General features: G+C 39.9%; 8 annotated features.

Moving 5' to 3' along the window:
- Positions 1,774-1,833: an enhancer, noted in NCBI's record as "active region_9941". NCBI's record gives its function as "activates an Ori minimal core promoter by ATAC-STARR-seq in GM12878 lymphoblastoid cells {active_cell/tissue: GM12878}" and the evidence as "EXISTENCE:reporter gene assay evidence [ECO:0000049][PMID:35858748]".
- Positions 3,796-3,965: an enhancer, noted in NCBI's record as "experimental_41344 CRE fragment used in MPRA reporter constructs". NCBI's record gives its function as "activates a minimal promoter by MPRAs in K562 erythroleukemia cells, with activity observed for the introgressed 15:80300560 variant allele {active_cell/tissue: K562}" and the evidence as "EXISTENCE:reporter gene assay evidence [ECO:0000049][PMID:34662402]".
- Positions 7,403-8,173: an enhancer, noted in NCBI's record as "NANOG-H3K27ac-H3K4me1 hESC enhancer chr15:80296267-80297037 (GRCh37/hg19 assembly coordinates)". NCBI's record gives its function as "activates a minimal SCP1, AML or CMV promoter by ChIP-STARR-seq in primed H9 embryonic stem cells {active_cell/tissue: H9 hESC(primed)}" and the evidence as "EXISTENCE:reporter gene assay evidence [ECO:0000049][PMID:30033119]".
- Positions 7,403-9,718: a biological region, named in NCBI's record as "MED14-independent group 3 enhancer GRCh37_chr15:80295257-80296456".
- Positions 7,984-9,183: an enhancer, noted in NCBI's record as "MED14-independent group 3 enhancer chr15:80295257-80296456 (GRCh37/hg19 assembly coordinates)". NCBI's record gives its function as "activates an origin of replication core promoter dependent on BRD2, BRD4, P300/CBP and CDK7 cofactors, and independent of MED14, by STARR-seq in HCT116 cells {active_cell/tissue: HCT116}" and the evidence as "EXISTENCE:reporter gene assay evidence [ECO:0000049][PMID:35650434]".
- Positions 8,174-8,946: an enhancer, noted in NCBI's record as "NANOG-H3K27ac-H3K4me1 hESC enhancer chr15:80295494-80296266 (GRCh37/hg19 assembly coordinates)". NCBI's record gives its function as "activates a minimal SCP1, AML or CMV promoter by ChIP-STARR-seq in naive and primed H9 embryonic stem cells {active_cell/tissue: H9 hESC(naive and primed)}" and the evidence as "EXISTENCE:reporter gene assay evidence [ECO:0000049][PMID:30033119]".
- Positions 8,947-9,718: an enhancer, noted in NCBI's record as "H3K27ac-H3K4me1 hESC enhancer chr15:80294722-80295493 (GRCh37/hg19 assembly coordinates)". NCBI's record gives its function as "activates a minimal SCP1, AML or CMV promoter by ChIP-STARR-seq in naive and primed H9 embryonic stem cells {active_cell/tissue: H9 hESC(naive and primed)}" and the evidence as "EXISTENCE:reporter gene assay evidence [ECO:0000049][PMID:30033119]".
- Positions 9,719-10,491: an enhancer, noted in NCBI's record as "H3K27ac-H3K4me1 hESC enhancer chr15:80293949-80294721 (GRCh37/hg19 assembly coordinates)". NCBI's record gives its function as "activates a minimal SCP1, AML or CMV promoter by ChIP-STARR-seq in naive H9 embryonic stem cells {active_cell/tissue: H9 hESC(naive)}" and the evidence as "EXISTENCE:reporter gene assay evidence [ECO:0000049][PMID:30033119]".

Below are 11,554 nucleotides of genomic sequence, written 5' to 3'. Positions count from 1 at the left end.
TCTGCCATTACAAGATTAGTTTTGCCTATTCAGGAAATTCATGTAAACAGGATTATGTGATAGGGAATTTTTTTGTGTCTGGCTTCTTTTACTTTAACATTATTTTAAAATATTTATTCATGTTGTTGCATGTATTAGTAAGTCATTCTTTTTTATTGTTGATTAGTATTCCACGTACGGATATACCATTTTGTTTATCCATTTTCCTGTTAATGGCATTTGAATGGGCTATTATATTTATAATAGCTTTGGGCTATTATAAATAAACTTGCTATGAAAATTTGACTAGACTTCCTTGGGTAGACATATTTTTCTCTTAAGTAGAATACTGACAGTGGAATTATGTGGTTGTATGATAAGTTTATGTTTAACTTTATAAGAAACTGCCAAACTATTTTCCAATGTGATTGTACCATTTTACACACCCACCAGCAGTGTATGAGAGTTCCAGTTCTTCTATGTCCTCGTCACACTTGGTATTATCAATCTTTTTTATTTTTGCCAGTCTAGAGGGTATTGAGAGGCAGTCTCTCAGTGCGTGTGTGTGTGTGTTTTGTTTTGTTTTTTTTAAGATGGAGTTTCGCTCTTGTTGCCCAGGCTGGAGTGCAATGGCGTGATCTCTGCTCACTGCAGCCTCTGCCTCCTGGGTTCAAGCAATTCTCTTGCCTCAGCCTTCCGAGTAGCTGGGATTACAGGTGCCCGCCACCACGCCTGGCTACCTGTTTTTGCATTTTTAGTAGAGACAGGGTTTCACCATGTTGGCCAGGGTGGTTTCGAACTCCTGGCCTCAAGTGATCCGCCCACCTTGGTCTTCCAAAGTGTCAGCATTACAGGCGTGAGCCACCGTGCCCAGCCTCTCAATGTGGTTTTAATTTACATTTCCATGTTGACTAATGATGTTGAGCTCTGTTCAGTTGCTTGTTAGTCATTTATATATCTGTTGCAAAATGCCTATTTATATCTTTTGCCCATTTTTAGAAGTTGAGTTTAAAAGTTGTCTTTTGTTACTGAGGACAAGAGTTCATTATATATTCTAAACACAAGTTCTTTGTCAGATATACAGATTTTGATTTTTTTCTCACAATCTGTGACTCATCTTGTCGTTTTCTTAACAGTATCCTTTGAATACTTTAAGTTTGATAAAACCAATTTATCTTTTTTTGTTTTATAGTTTATGAGATGGGTTGGCTTTTTTTGTAAAGTAATCAGGCTCTTCTGTCAGGAACTCGAGGGCTACTGTAAGGTAACATGAGAGAATAAGGACTTTTGGTCTACAGTGGTAAAGAAATGTGAGTAAGGAATTTGGAGGATCCTGGGGAGGCAGGAAAAATTAGGTGGAAGGTTCCAAAAGAGTGGAAACAACAATAATATCTAGTATTTATATTTATTGAGTGCTTACTATGTTTCAGGCCTTGTAGGATCTTCGCTTGTATTAACTTATGCAATCTCCACACCACTGTGGAATAGGTGCTATTATTATCCCCGTTTTGCATATAGGGAAACAGAGTGATTAAGTAACCTGCCCAAGATCATGCAACTTGTTAAGTGGCAGAGTCAGGATTCAAACCCATAAAAGTGGCTCCTTGCTTTTAACCATTACACTGGTCAAGTGGGGCTGCTGACTGTTAAGTGTCAGGCAAGTAGGCTGAAAAAAATCAGCAGGAGTATTGTTTGAGTGTCCATTGGCATCCTTCCCAGAGTACCACCCAGGTTTCTGTGCCAATGAGCTGTTCAGTCATCATCTGAGGGGGTGCCAACCTAAACCTCTGGTACTACCAAATGCAAAGCAACCTTGTGTGGCACACAAAAATACAGAACTCATACAAGAAACAGGGTGTGTCTGGCCGGGTGTGGTGGCTCACGCCAGTAGTCCCAGCGCTTTGGGGGGCCCAGGAGGGTGGATCACGAGGTCAGGAGTTCAGGACAAGCCTGGCCAAGATGGTGAAACCCTGTCTCTACTAAAAATACAAAAAATTAGCCAGGCGTGGTGGCAGGTGCCTGTAATCCCAGCTACTCAGGAGGCTGAGGCAGAGAATTGCTTGAACCCGGGAGACAGAGGTTTCAGTGAGCTGACATCGCGCCACTGCACTCCAGCCTGGGTGACAGAGCAAGACTCTGTCTCAAAAAAAAGAAAGAAAGAAAGAAAGAAAGAAACAGGGTGTGTCTGGCAGGGCATGGTGGCTCACGCCTGTAATCTCAGTACTTTGGGAAGCCGAGGCGAGTGAATCATTTGAGGTCAGGAGTTTTGAGACCAGCCTGGCTGACATGGTGAAACCCTGCCTCTACTAAAAATACAAAAATTAGCCAGGTGTGGTGGTGCATGCCTGTAATCCCAGCTCTTTGGGCGGTTGAGGCAGGAGAATTGCTTGAACCTGGGAGGTGGAGGTTGCAGTGAGCTGAAATCATGCCACTGTACTCCAGCCCGGGCAACACAGCGAGACTCCATCTCAAAAAAAAAAAAAAAAAAAGAGGCCAGGCACAGTGGCTCACACCTGTAATCCCAGCACTTTGGGAGGCTGAGGCAGGTGAATCACCAGGTCATCTCAGCACTTTCGGAGGCCAAGGCAGGTGAATCATTTGAGGTCAGGAGTGTGAGACCATCCTGGCCAACATGGTGAAACCTCATCTCTACTAAAAATACCAAAATTAGCTGGATGTGGTGGCGGGTGCCTGTAGTCCCAGCTACTTGGGAGGCTGAGGCAGGAGAATCGCTTGAACCAGGAGGTGGAGGTTGCAGTGAGCCGAGATCACGCCACTGCACCCCAGCCTGGCGACAGAGCCAGACTCTGTCTCAAAAAAAAAAAAAAAAGAAAGAAACAGAGTGTGGAGATCACAGGCCTCTGATTCTGCTTCTTGACTTGCCCCCTAGGAAGGTTCTCATGGGGTTTTATGTCTAACCTCCCACATTGTGAAGTCCATTTCCATGCCTGCTGGGACTCTCCTGCATCCTGGACATGGCACCTCTGTTTGCATCTCCTGTCTCTGGCTCTACCTCCAGCCTTTTAGTACCATTTTGGTCCTTTGGTCCTGTTTGTGCCCAGTTCTGAGGGGCCTTTATAGAAGTTCCCCATCCCACTACTCACTCCTTGTAGGTTGAGGGCTGCAAGGAGCAAGAGAATGTCGGAAGGTCCCATGCTTCCACTTCTGTAGGTTAGGTGGCTAGGTACTGTTAAAGATGTGAAAATATGATACCCAGTGAACATATTTCAAAAAGTCACTTGAAGAGACATATTTTTTTCATGTTATCTTTTAAGCTATGAGAAAAGTTTGTATATTTTGAGATTATTCTTTTTTCAGAATGTCAGGATAGTATTAGCTTCTTCTTCATTGTAGAAAAAATAGCTGTGTCGAAGCATCTGCAGATAAAGGGTTGACAATAACAGAGAGAGACTAGAAAATGGGAAGTGGGACATTTTTATTATTATTTTAGGACAGAGTCTCACTCTGTCACCCAGGCTGGAGTGCAGTGGCGTGATCTCAGCTCACTGCAACCTCCACCTCGCGGTTCAAGCGATTCTCCTGCCTCAGCCTCCTGAGTACCTGGGACTACAGATGCGTGCCACCACACCAGGCTGATGTTTTTTGCATTTTTAGTACAGATGGGGTTTCACCATGTTGTCTAGGCTGGTCTCAAACTCCTGACCTCAGGTGATCTGCCCACCTTGGCCTCCCAAAGTGCTGGGATTATAGGTGTGAGCCACTGCGCCTGGCCTGAGACATTATTATATATCACTAAAATACTACTCTCTCCAACGATATGAGGTAAATAAAACAAAAACCCCCAAGTGGTCCAAGGCTTGAAGGGTTCAAATGAGAGAGATGAGCTATTAGAAATATTAATGCAGTCAAGGGCATGATAAAATGTGACGTTAAAATGAACTTTTCATTGTACTTACCTTTGTTGAGGTGTAAGTGAGACCCCTAGGCCACAATAACCATATTTTTAAAGAAGATTTATCCTTAGTGGAAGATCTTTAACTCTCAAATGTGGACAATTTTTTTATTTAATAGTTTTGAATTACATTCCTTTTGCTATGTGGTAATTATATATGACCGAATTTCATTTGGAGCCACTTACGCCTCATTTTCCTAAATGTCATACAAAATGTGTCCATACATCAAATTAGAAAAGGCCGGCTTTTGGACTATAGTAATAATCACCTGTGGTTTTTTTCTTGTGACTTGACTGAGCATGGAGCAATTAACTCCAACTAAATGAAGCAGGTTGAAAGGGTCAGGAATCTGCAGCTAGATGTGCTCTTTGGACGCTTGGCTTGTGGAAACCAAAGAGGATGTTTGCAAATGGTGGGGGCAGTTCCAGGGGAACTACCTCTGAGAACAGCAGTGTAGCATGGACGAGGCCGCACATATCCTTGTATGCATAACATGTCTTTCTCAATATTTCAGCTAAATTCACTCACATCACACCAGTATCCTGACTTCGCAGAGCAGGGATGGAATGCATTGGCAAAAAAATTTGATGGGAGGGCAGGCGTGGCAGCTCATGCCTGTAATCCCAGCACTTTGGGAGTTGGAGGTGGGAGGATCACTTGAACTTAGAAGTTTGATATCAACCTGGTCAACACAGGGAGACCCTGTCTCTACAGAAGAAAAAAAAAAAAAAGCCTGGCACAATGGTGCATGCCTGTGGTCCCAGCTACTTGGGAGGCTGAGATCAGAGGATTGCTTGGGCCCAGGAGGCCAATGCTGCAGTGGGCCATGATTGTACCACTGTAACTCCAGCCTGGGCAACAGAGCAAGAACCTGTCTCAAGAAAAAAAAACTTTTGTTTGGACATAAAACATGATAGAATACGATATCAGCCATGCGGCTGAAGTCTGTTGTTTAGCTTATGTAACTATCACATTTTTGCTTTTATTGAATCATGATAAAGACTGGAAGCAGAGACAAATTCTGAATATTATCTTTTGCCCTGCAAGAAATGGCAGGAGTCTTTATCAGTAAGAGCACACAAGAATGGGAAGTTCGGAGCTGGCACTCGCTGGAGACCCAGGCTGAGTACACTGGTTCTAAGAAGGCTAGGGGCCAGATGGGTTTTCAGGACAGAGACTCAGGTCTCTGTGACACAGGGACGAGCAGCCAGACTGCCTTGTTGCTGAAGCCCCTCAAAGCTTCTGGAGCTCCCTAATTCTCCCAGTCTTGAAGCTTGGGACATGGGAGTTACAGAGTCTGTAGAAGAGAGTCAGAGAACCACAGGCACAGGAAAGGAGGCCAGCAGGGAGCCCAACAGGTGCTGCTGTGCTCCAGGACAAATGGTCAACACAATAGGACTTCCCACTTACTGCCCAGTACTCGTCCTCATTAGCTCACCTTCTAGCTAATTTGAATGATGTTTGTTTATATTAGTGTTCTTACTCACTGATGAAGGTGAGAGGACGTTTTCCAAGATATTCAGCCAATTCAAGAATTTTGCTGTGAAGAATTGAGATGCCAGGATGGGCCAGGCGCCGTGGCTCACGCCTGTAATCCCATCATTTTGGGAGACTGAGGCAAGTGGATCACCTGAGGTCAGGAGATTGAGACCAGCCTGGACAACATGGTGAAACCCCGACTCTACTAAAAGTACAAAATTAGCCAGGTGTGTTGGTACGTGCTTGTAGTCCCAGTTACTCGGGAGGCTGGGGCAGGAGAACTGCTTGAATCCAGGAGGCAGAGGTTGCAGTGAGCCGAGATCACACCACTGCACTCCAGCCTGGGCTATAGAGCGAGACTCCATCTCAAAAAAAAAGAGAAAGAAAGAAAAAAAAGAGATGCAAGGGTGTGGAGTGTAAGGAGGAATTGAGGAAACAACCCACCTGGACTGCCACAGGCCTTTGGCACCCAGTGTTAAGACTTTACTGCCCCTTTCAACACCATAATCAACAAAGCCTGCCTGTGAAAAATCTCAGGAGACAGTCTGATCTTTTTGTATTTTGAAGCAGCTGAGGCCTGCTCCACCTGTGAGATCACCTTATTCCACTAATGACCTTAATTGCTGAATCCTTTAAAATGCCAGTGTTGGCCCAGCCCCAGTAATGGTGATGGATGGAAGCCCGGAGCCAGTCAGTCTGCAATGTTTCAGCAACCTCACAGGCACAGAGTGCTCCGAGGCTGCTGGAGGGTATGCCAAAGAAGACGAAGAATTACTAGTGGCTCCTCTTCCAGAGCCCTCTAATCTGGGTAGGGAAGAAGCCTTACAGGGACTTGAGTCTGATGCTGGGAGGAGGCCTGATGCATATTATCATTCAGCAGTGCCTCCAGGATAAAGTCCCACATCCTTCCTCTCTCTCTCTCTCTCTCTCTCTCTCTCTCTCTATTATATAATATATATATAGAATAACACATATAATATATTATATATAACCTATGTTATATATTATATAATATATAAAATATATTATATATTATATAAAATACCTTATATATACACATATATACTATACTATATAATATACTATATGTTATATACCATATATTGTACTATATGTTATATACCATATATTATACTATATGGTATATACCATATATTATACTATATGGTATATACCATATATTATACACTATATAATATACCATATATTATACACTATATAATATACCATATATTATATTATATACTATATAATATACCATGTATTATATACTATATAATATACCATGTATTATATACTATATAATATACCATGTATTATATACTATATAATATACCATGTATTATATACTATATAATATACCATGTATTATATACTATATAATATACCATGTATTATATACTATATAATATATAATATAATATATAATATATTATATACTATATAATATATAATATAATATATAATATATTATATACTATATAATATATAATATAATATATAATATATTATATACTATATAATATATAATATAATATATAATATATTATATACTATATACTATAAAATATATAATATATTATATACTATAAAATGTATATTATATACTATAAAATATATAATATATTATATACTATATAAAATATATAATATATTATATACTATATAATATATAAAATATATAATATATTATATACTATATAATATATAAAATATATAACATATTATATACTATATAATATATAAAATATATAATATATTATATACTATATAATATATTTGTTATATATAAAATATATTATATAGTATATAATAATGTTATATATAAAATATATAATATATAGTATATAAAATATATGCACATATATAATATATATTATATATTATATAATATAATATATATTATATATTATATAATATAATATATATTATATATTATATAATATATAATATTTTATATATATATTATATATATATATATTATATATATATAATTATAAATATAATATATAAAATTATATATAATATATAATATATAATATATAATATATAAATATAGAAATATATTATATAATATATTATATATTATATAATATATAAATATATAATTATATATAATATATTTTATAATATATATAATTATATATAATAATATATACTATATTATATAATTATATATAATAATATATACTATATTATATACGTATTAAAAAAAGAAACTTTAAAATTAACGGAATATATAATATACTATATATACATATATAGTATATACATATATAAATAAAAAATATATATTTTTAAACATTCAAATTACAGAAAAAACAACATATAAGGAGATACTATCTTCTCCATGAGGTGAAGTTTTGTGCAATTAGAAAAGAATTTCTCTTCCTCCAGCAGACCCAGCACATGCCAGGGTGAATACCTTTGCCCTCTTGGCTGGTACCTGGATGCAGGGCACAAATTTCAGTCATGTGTGGTGGTTCTATTCACAGTCCTTCATAGCCTGGCCTTGAATTGTCCTGGTTTTGTCTCCCACTGCACGCTTCCTTGTTGTGGGACCTTCAGACAGCCTTCCATACTTCCGCCAATCCACTAGCTTGGTACGCCCCAGGCCCTGTATCTCCCTCGTGCTCTCTGCCCTGTCTATAAAAACCTTCCTTCCCTTCTCTATCTGGTCAAGTCCTACATGTTACTGATTTTTACCTGTAATTTTTTTTGTTTTGAAATGGAGTTTCGCTCTTGTTGCCCAGACTGGAGTACAGTGGCGGGATCTTGGCTCACTGCAACCACCACCTCCCAGGTTCAAGCAATTCTTCTGCCTCAGCCTCCCGAGTAGCTGGGATTATAGGCACTTGCCACCGTGCCCGGCTAATTTTTTGTGTTTTTAGTAAAGACGGGGTTTCATCGTGTTGGTCAGGCTGGTCTCAAACTCCTGACCCCAGGTGAGCCACCCGCCTCAGCCTCCCAAAGTGCTAGGATTACAGGCCTGAGCCACTGCGCCCGGCCTTCCCTGTTAATTTTAAAGTTTCTTTTTTTTTTTTAATATTGCAAAATGTAACACTTACTTGGAGAAGTGTTATCAAACATAAACTCACAGTTCCATAAACTGTAATTCACACTCATCGTGAAATAGAACATTCCCAGTACTCCAGCATCACCTCCTCCACTTCAACTCCCCGTTCTCCCAAAGGCCTTGTTCTATCTGCAATTGTCTCCCTCTATCATTCTGACTGCCAGAGATGGTGAATTCGTCTTCAAAGGGTTTAATTGTGTAATGTCCTTGTCCTTGGTTCGGAGCCTCACCTCCTTGTACTTTCTTGTTTCTAGCCTGTGAGCAGCCCTCCCGCTCTTGTTGTGCCCGGACTTGCCCAGACATGTCCGAACACGCCTTGTGCTGTAGCAGAGGGACCACTCCTATCCCCCACCCTCCCTTGCGAATCGCACGTTTACCCTAATTGGAAAAGTATGTCTTTTTTTGTTTTTTTTTTTTGAGATGGAATCTCGCTCTGTCGCCAGGCTGGAGTGCAGTGGTGCAGTCTCAGCTCACTGCAGCCTCCGTCTCCAGGGGTTCAAGCAATTCTCCTGCCTCAGACTCCCGAGTATCTGGGACCACAGGCGCGGGCCACCACGCCCGGCTAATTTTTTTGTATTTTTAGTAGAGACGGGGTTTCACCATGTTGGCCAGGATGGTCTTGATCTCCTGACCTCGTGATCCGCCCACCTGGGCTTCCCAAAGTGCTGGGATTACAGGCGTGAGCCACCATGCCCGGCTGAAAAGTTTAAGTCTTAGCCAACTGGGGTTAGCTTAGGTTGTGCAGTCCAACCCTAGCCAATAGGGGAAGGACACAGGAATAGGGACTATGTTAGGGATAAAAACTCCTCTCCTTTGTTAGTTGTGCTCGCAGCGGCCAGAAGCATGAGCGGCAGCCTTCTGTAGAAGTAAACTTGCTTTGCTGAGAAACCTATTGTTTGAGTGCTTGTTTTTCCTGCGACTCCGAGCTCTTATTTCCAACACTGACTTTTAAGGAAACCACTTTCCTGTCTTTTTTTTTTTTTTTTTTTTTTTTAAGAGACATGATCTCACCATGTTGCCCAGGGTGGACTCAAACTCCTGGACTCAAGCAGTTCTCCTGCCTCAGCCTCCTAAGTAGCTGGGATGACAGGCATGCGCCACCATATTCAGCTCCTGCTTTTTTTTTTCTTTTGAAAATTTGGATTATTTCTAGTTTTTGATGTTTCTGAGTAATGCTGCTATCAGCATTTTTTTTGCATGTCTCCTGCACTATACATGCATGTATTTCTGCTAGGTACAAACCTGAGATGGAATTTCTGATCTTAGAGTGTGCATATCACCAACTTTAATAAATACAGCAAAGTAGTGATTGTACCAATTTACACTTCAGCCGTATACGAGAGAAGCAGCTACTCTATATCTGTCCCAACACTTGGTAACATGGTCTTTTAAATTTTAGTCATTTTGGTGGGTGTAAATAGTTTTGCTTGTTTGTTTGAGATAGAGTTTTGCTCTCCTGCCCAGGCTGGAGTGCAGTGGCGTGATCTCGGTTCACTGCAACCTCTGTCTCCTGGGTTCAAGCAATTCTCCTGCCTCACCCTCCCAAGTAGCTGGGATTACAGGTGCCCACTACCACGACGGGGTTTCATCATGTTGGCCAGGCTGGTCTCGAACTCCCGACCTCAAATGATCCACCTGCCTGGGCCTTCCAAACTGCTGAGATTACAGGCGTAAGCCACCGTGCCCAGCCCGTAAATGGTTTTTATTTGTATTTCCCTGTTGATTATTGAGATTGAGCACGTTTTCATATATTTATTGGCCATTTAGTATCCTCTATTGCAAAGTGCTTATTCATGTCTTTTACTCATTTATTTACTGTGTGCTCTGTATTTTTCTTTCCTTATTCTGTAGGTATACACACACATACACAAACATGTACATAGAGTCAGCTCTTTATATAATATGGATATAATGCTTTGTCTGTTACAAGTATTGCAAATACCCCCACCACTCAGAGGCTTGTCATTCTCTTAACGTCATCTTTTGATAAAGGGAAGTTTTTAATTGTTAACATGGTGAAATCTATCAGTCCTTTCCTTACTATTAGTGCTTTAATGTCCTTTTTTTTTTTTTTTTTTTTTTTTTTTTTGAGACGGAGTCTTGCTTTGTCGCCCAGGCTCGAGTGCAGTGGCAGAATCTCGGCTCACTGCAAGCTCCGTCTCCTAGGTTCACACCATTCTCCTGCCTCAGCCTCCTGAGTAGTTGGGACTACAGGTGCCAGCCACCATGGCCGGCTAATTTTTTTGTATTTTTAGTAGAGACGGGGTTTCACCATGTTAGCCAGGATGGTCTCGATCTCCTGACCTCGTGATCCACCCACCTTGGCCTCCCAAACTTTTGGGATTACAGGTGTGAGTCACTGCGCCGGGCCTTAATTTCCTATTTAAGAAATATTCGTCATGAATATGTTCTTTTATAGTATCTAGTAGAAGCTTTTAAAAATATTTAAAATAGAAATATAACATGCAGAAAGTGCATACGTTGTATGAAGCTTGAGTATGCAACTCAGTAGATTTTTACGTACATCTATACCCAGAGAACCTCTATTCAGAGCAAGTTGGATATTTACAGCAAACCATAAGGTTTCCCAATCAATTACAACTCCATCCTTAAGGCCATCACTATTCTAACTTCTGTTCATCTTTTCTCCTTGTTGTTGGATATTTGGGTTGTTTCAGTTTGGGGGTATTACAAATAAATTGCTGTGAACATTCTTGTATGTGTCTTTTGATGCACATAGCACAGATTCTCTTGGGTATATACTAAGAATGGGATTGCAAAGCCAGGATATTGATTTATTTGTAGATACTGCCAAACCTTTTCCAAATTTACACTCCAAAAGCAATGTAAGAGAGTTCCCATTGCTCCACTCCTCACCAACACTTGGTATTGTCAGACTTTTTGATTTTAGATGTTCTTCTGGGATGTGTAGTGATATCATATTGTGGTTGAATTCACATTTCCCTAATGAGTAATGATGTGAAGCACTCTTCCATATATTTATTGGTTATGAAGTTCCTGACCAAGCCTATTTTTAAAAATGGGGCTGATTTTTTTTCTTAATGGTTTGTAGAAGTTCTTTATATATTGTAGTTATGAGTTCTTT

Source organism: Homo sapiens, chromosome 15, assembly GCF_000001405.40.
Source record: "Homo sapiens chromosome 15, GRCh38.p14 Primary Assembly".
NCBI lineage: Eukaryota > Metazoa > Chordata > Mammalia > Primates > Hominidae > Homo > Homo sapiens.
The sequence above is the reverse complement of the archived record's forward strand: the minus strand, read 5'-3'. Positions and strand labels throughout refer to the sequence as shown.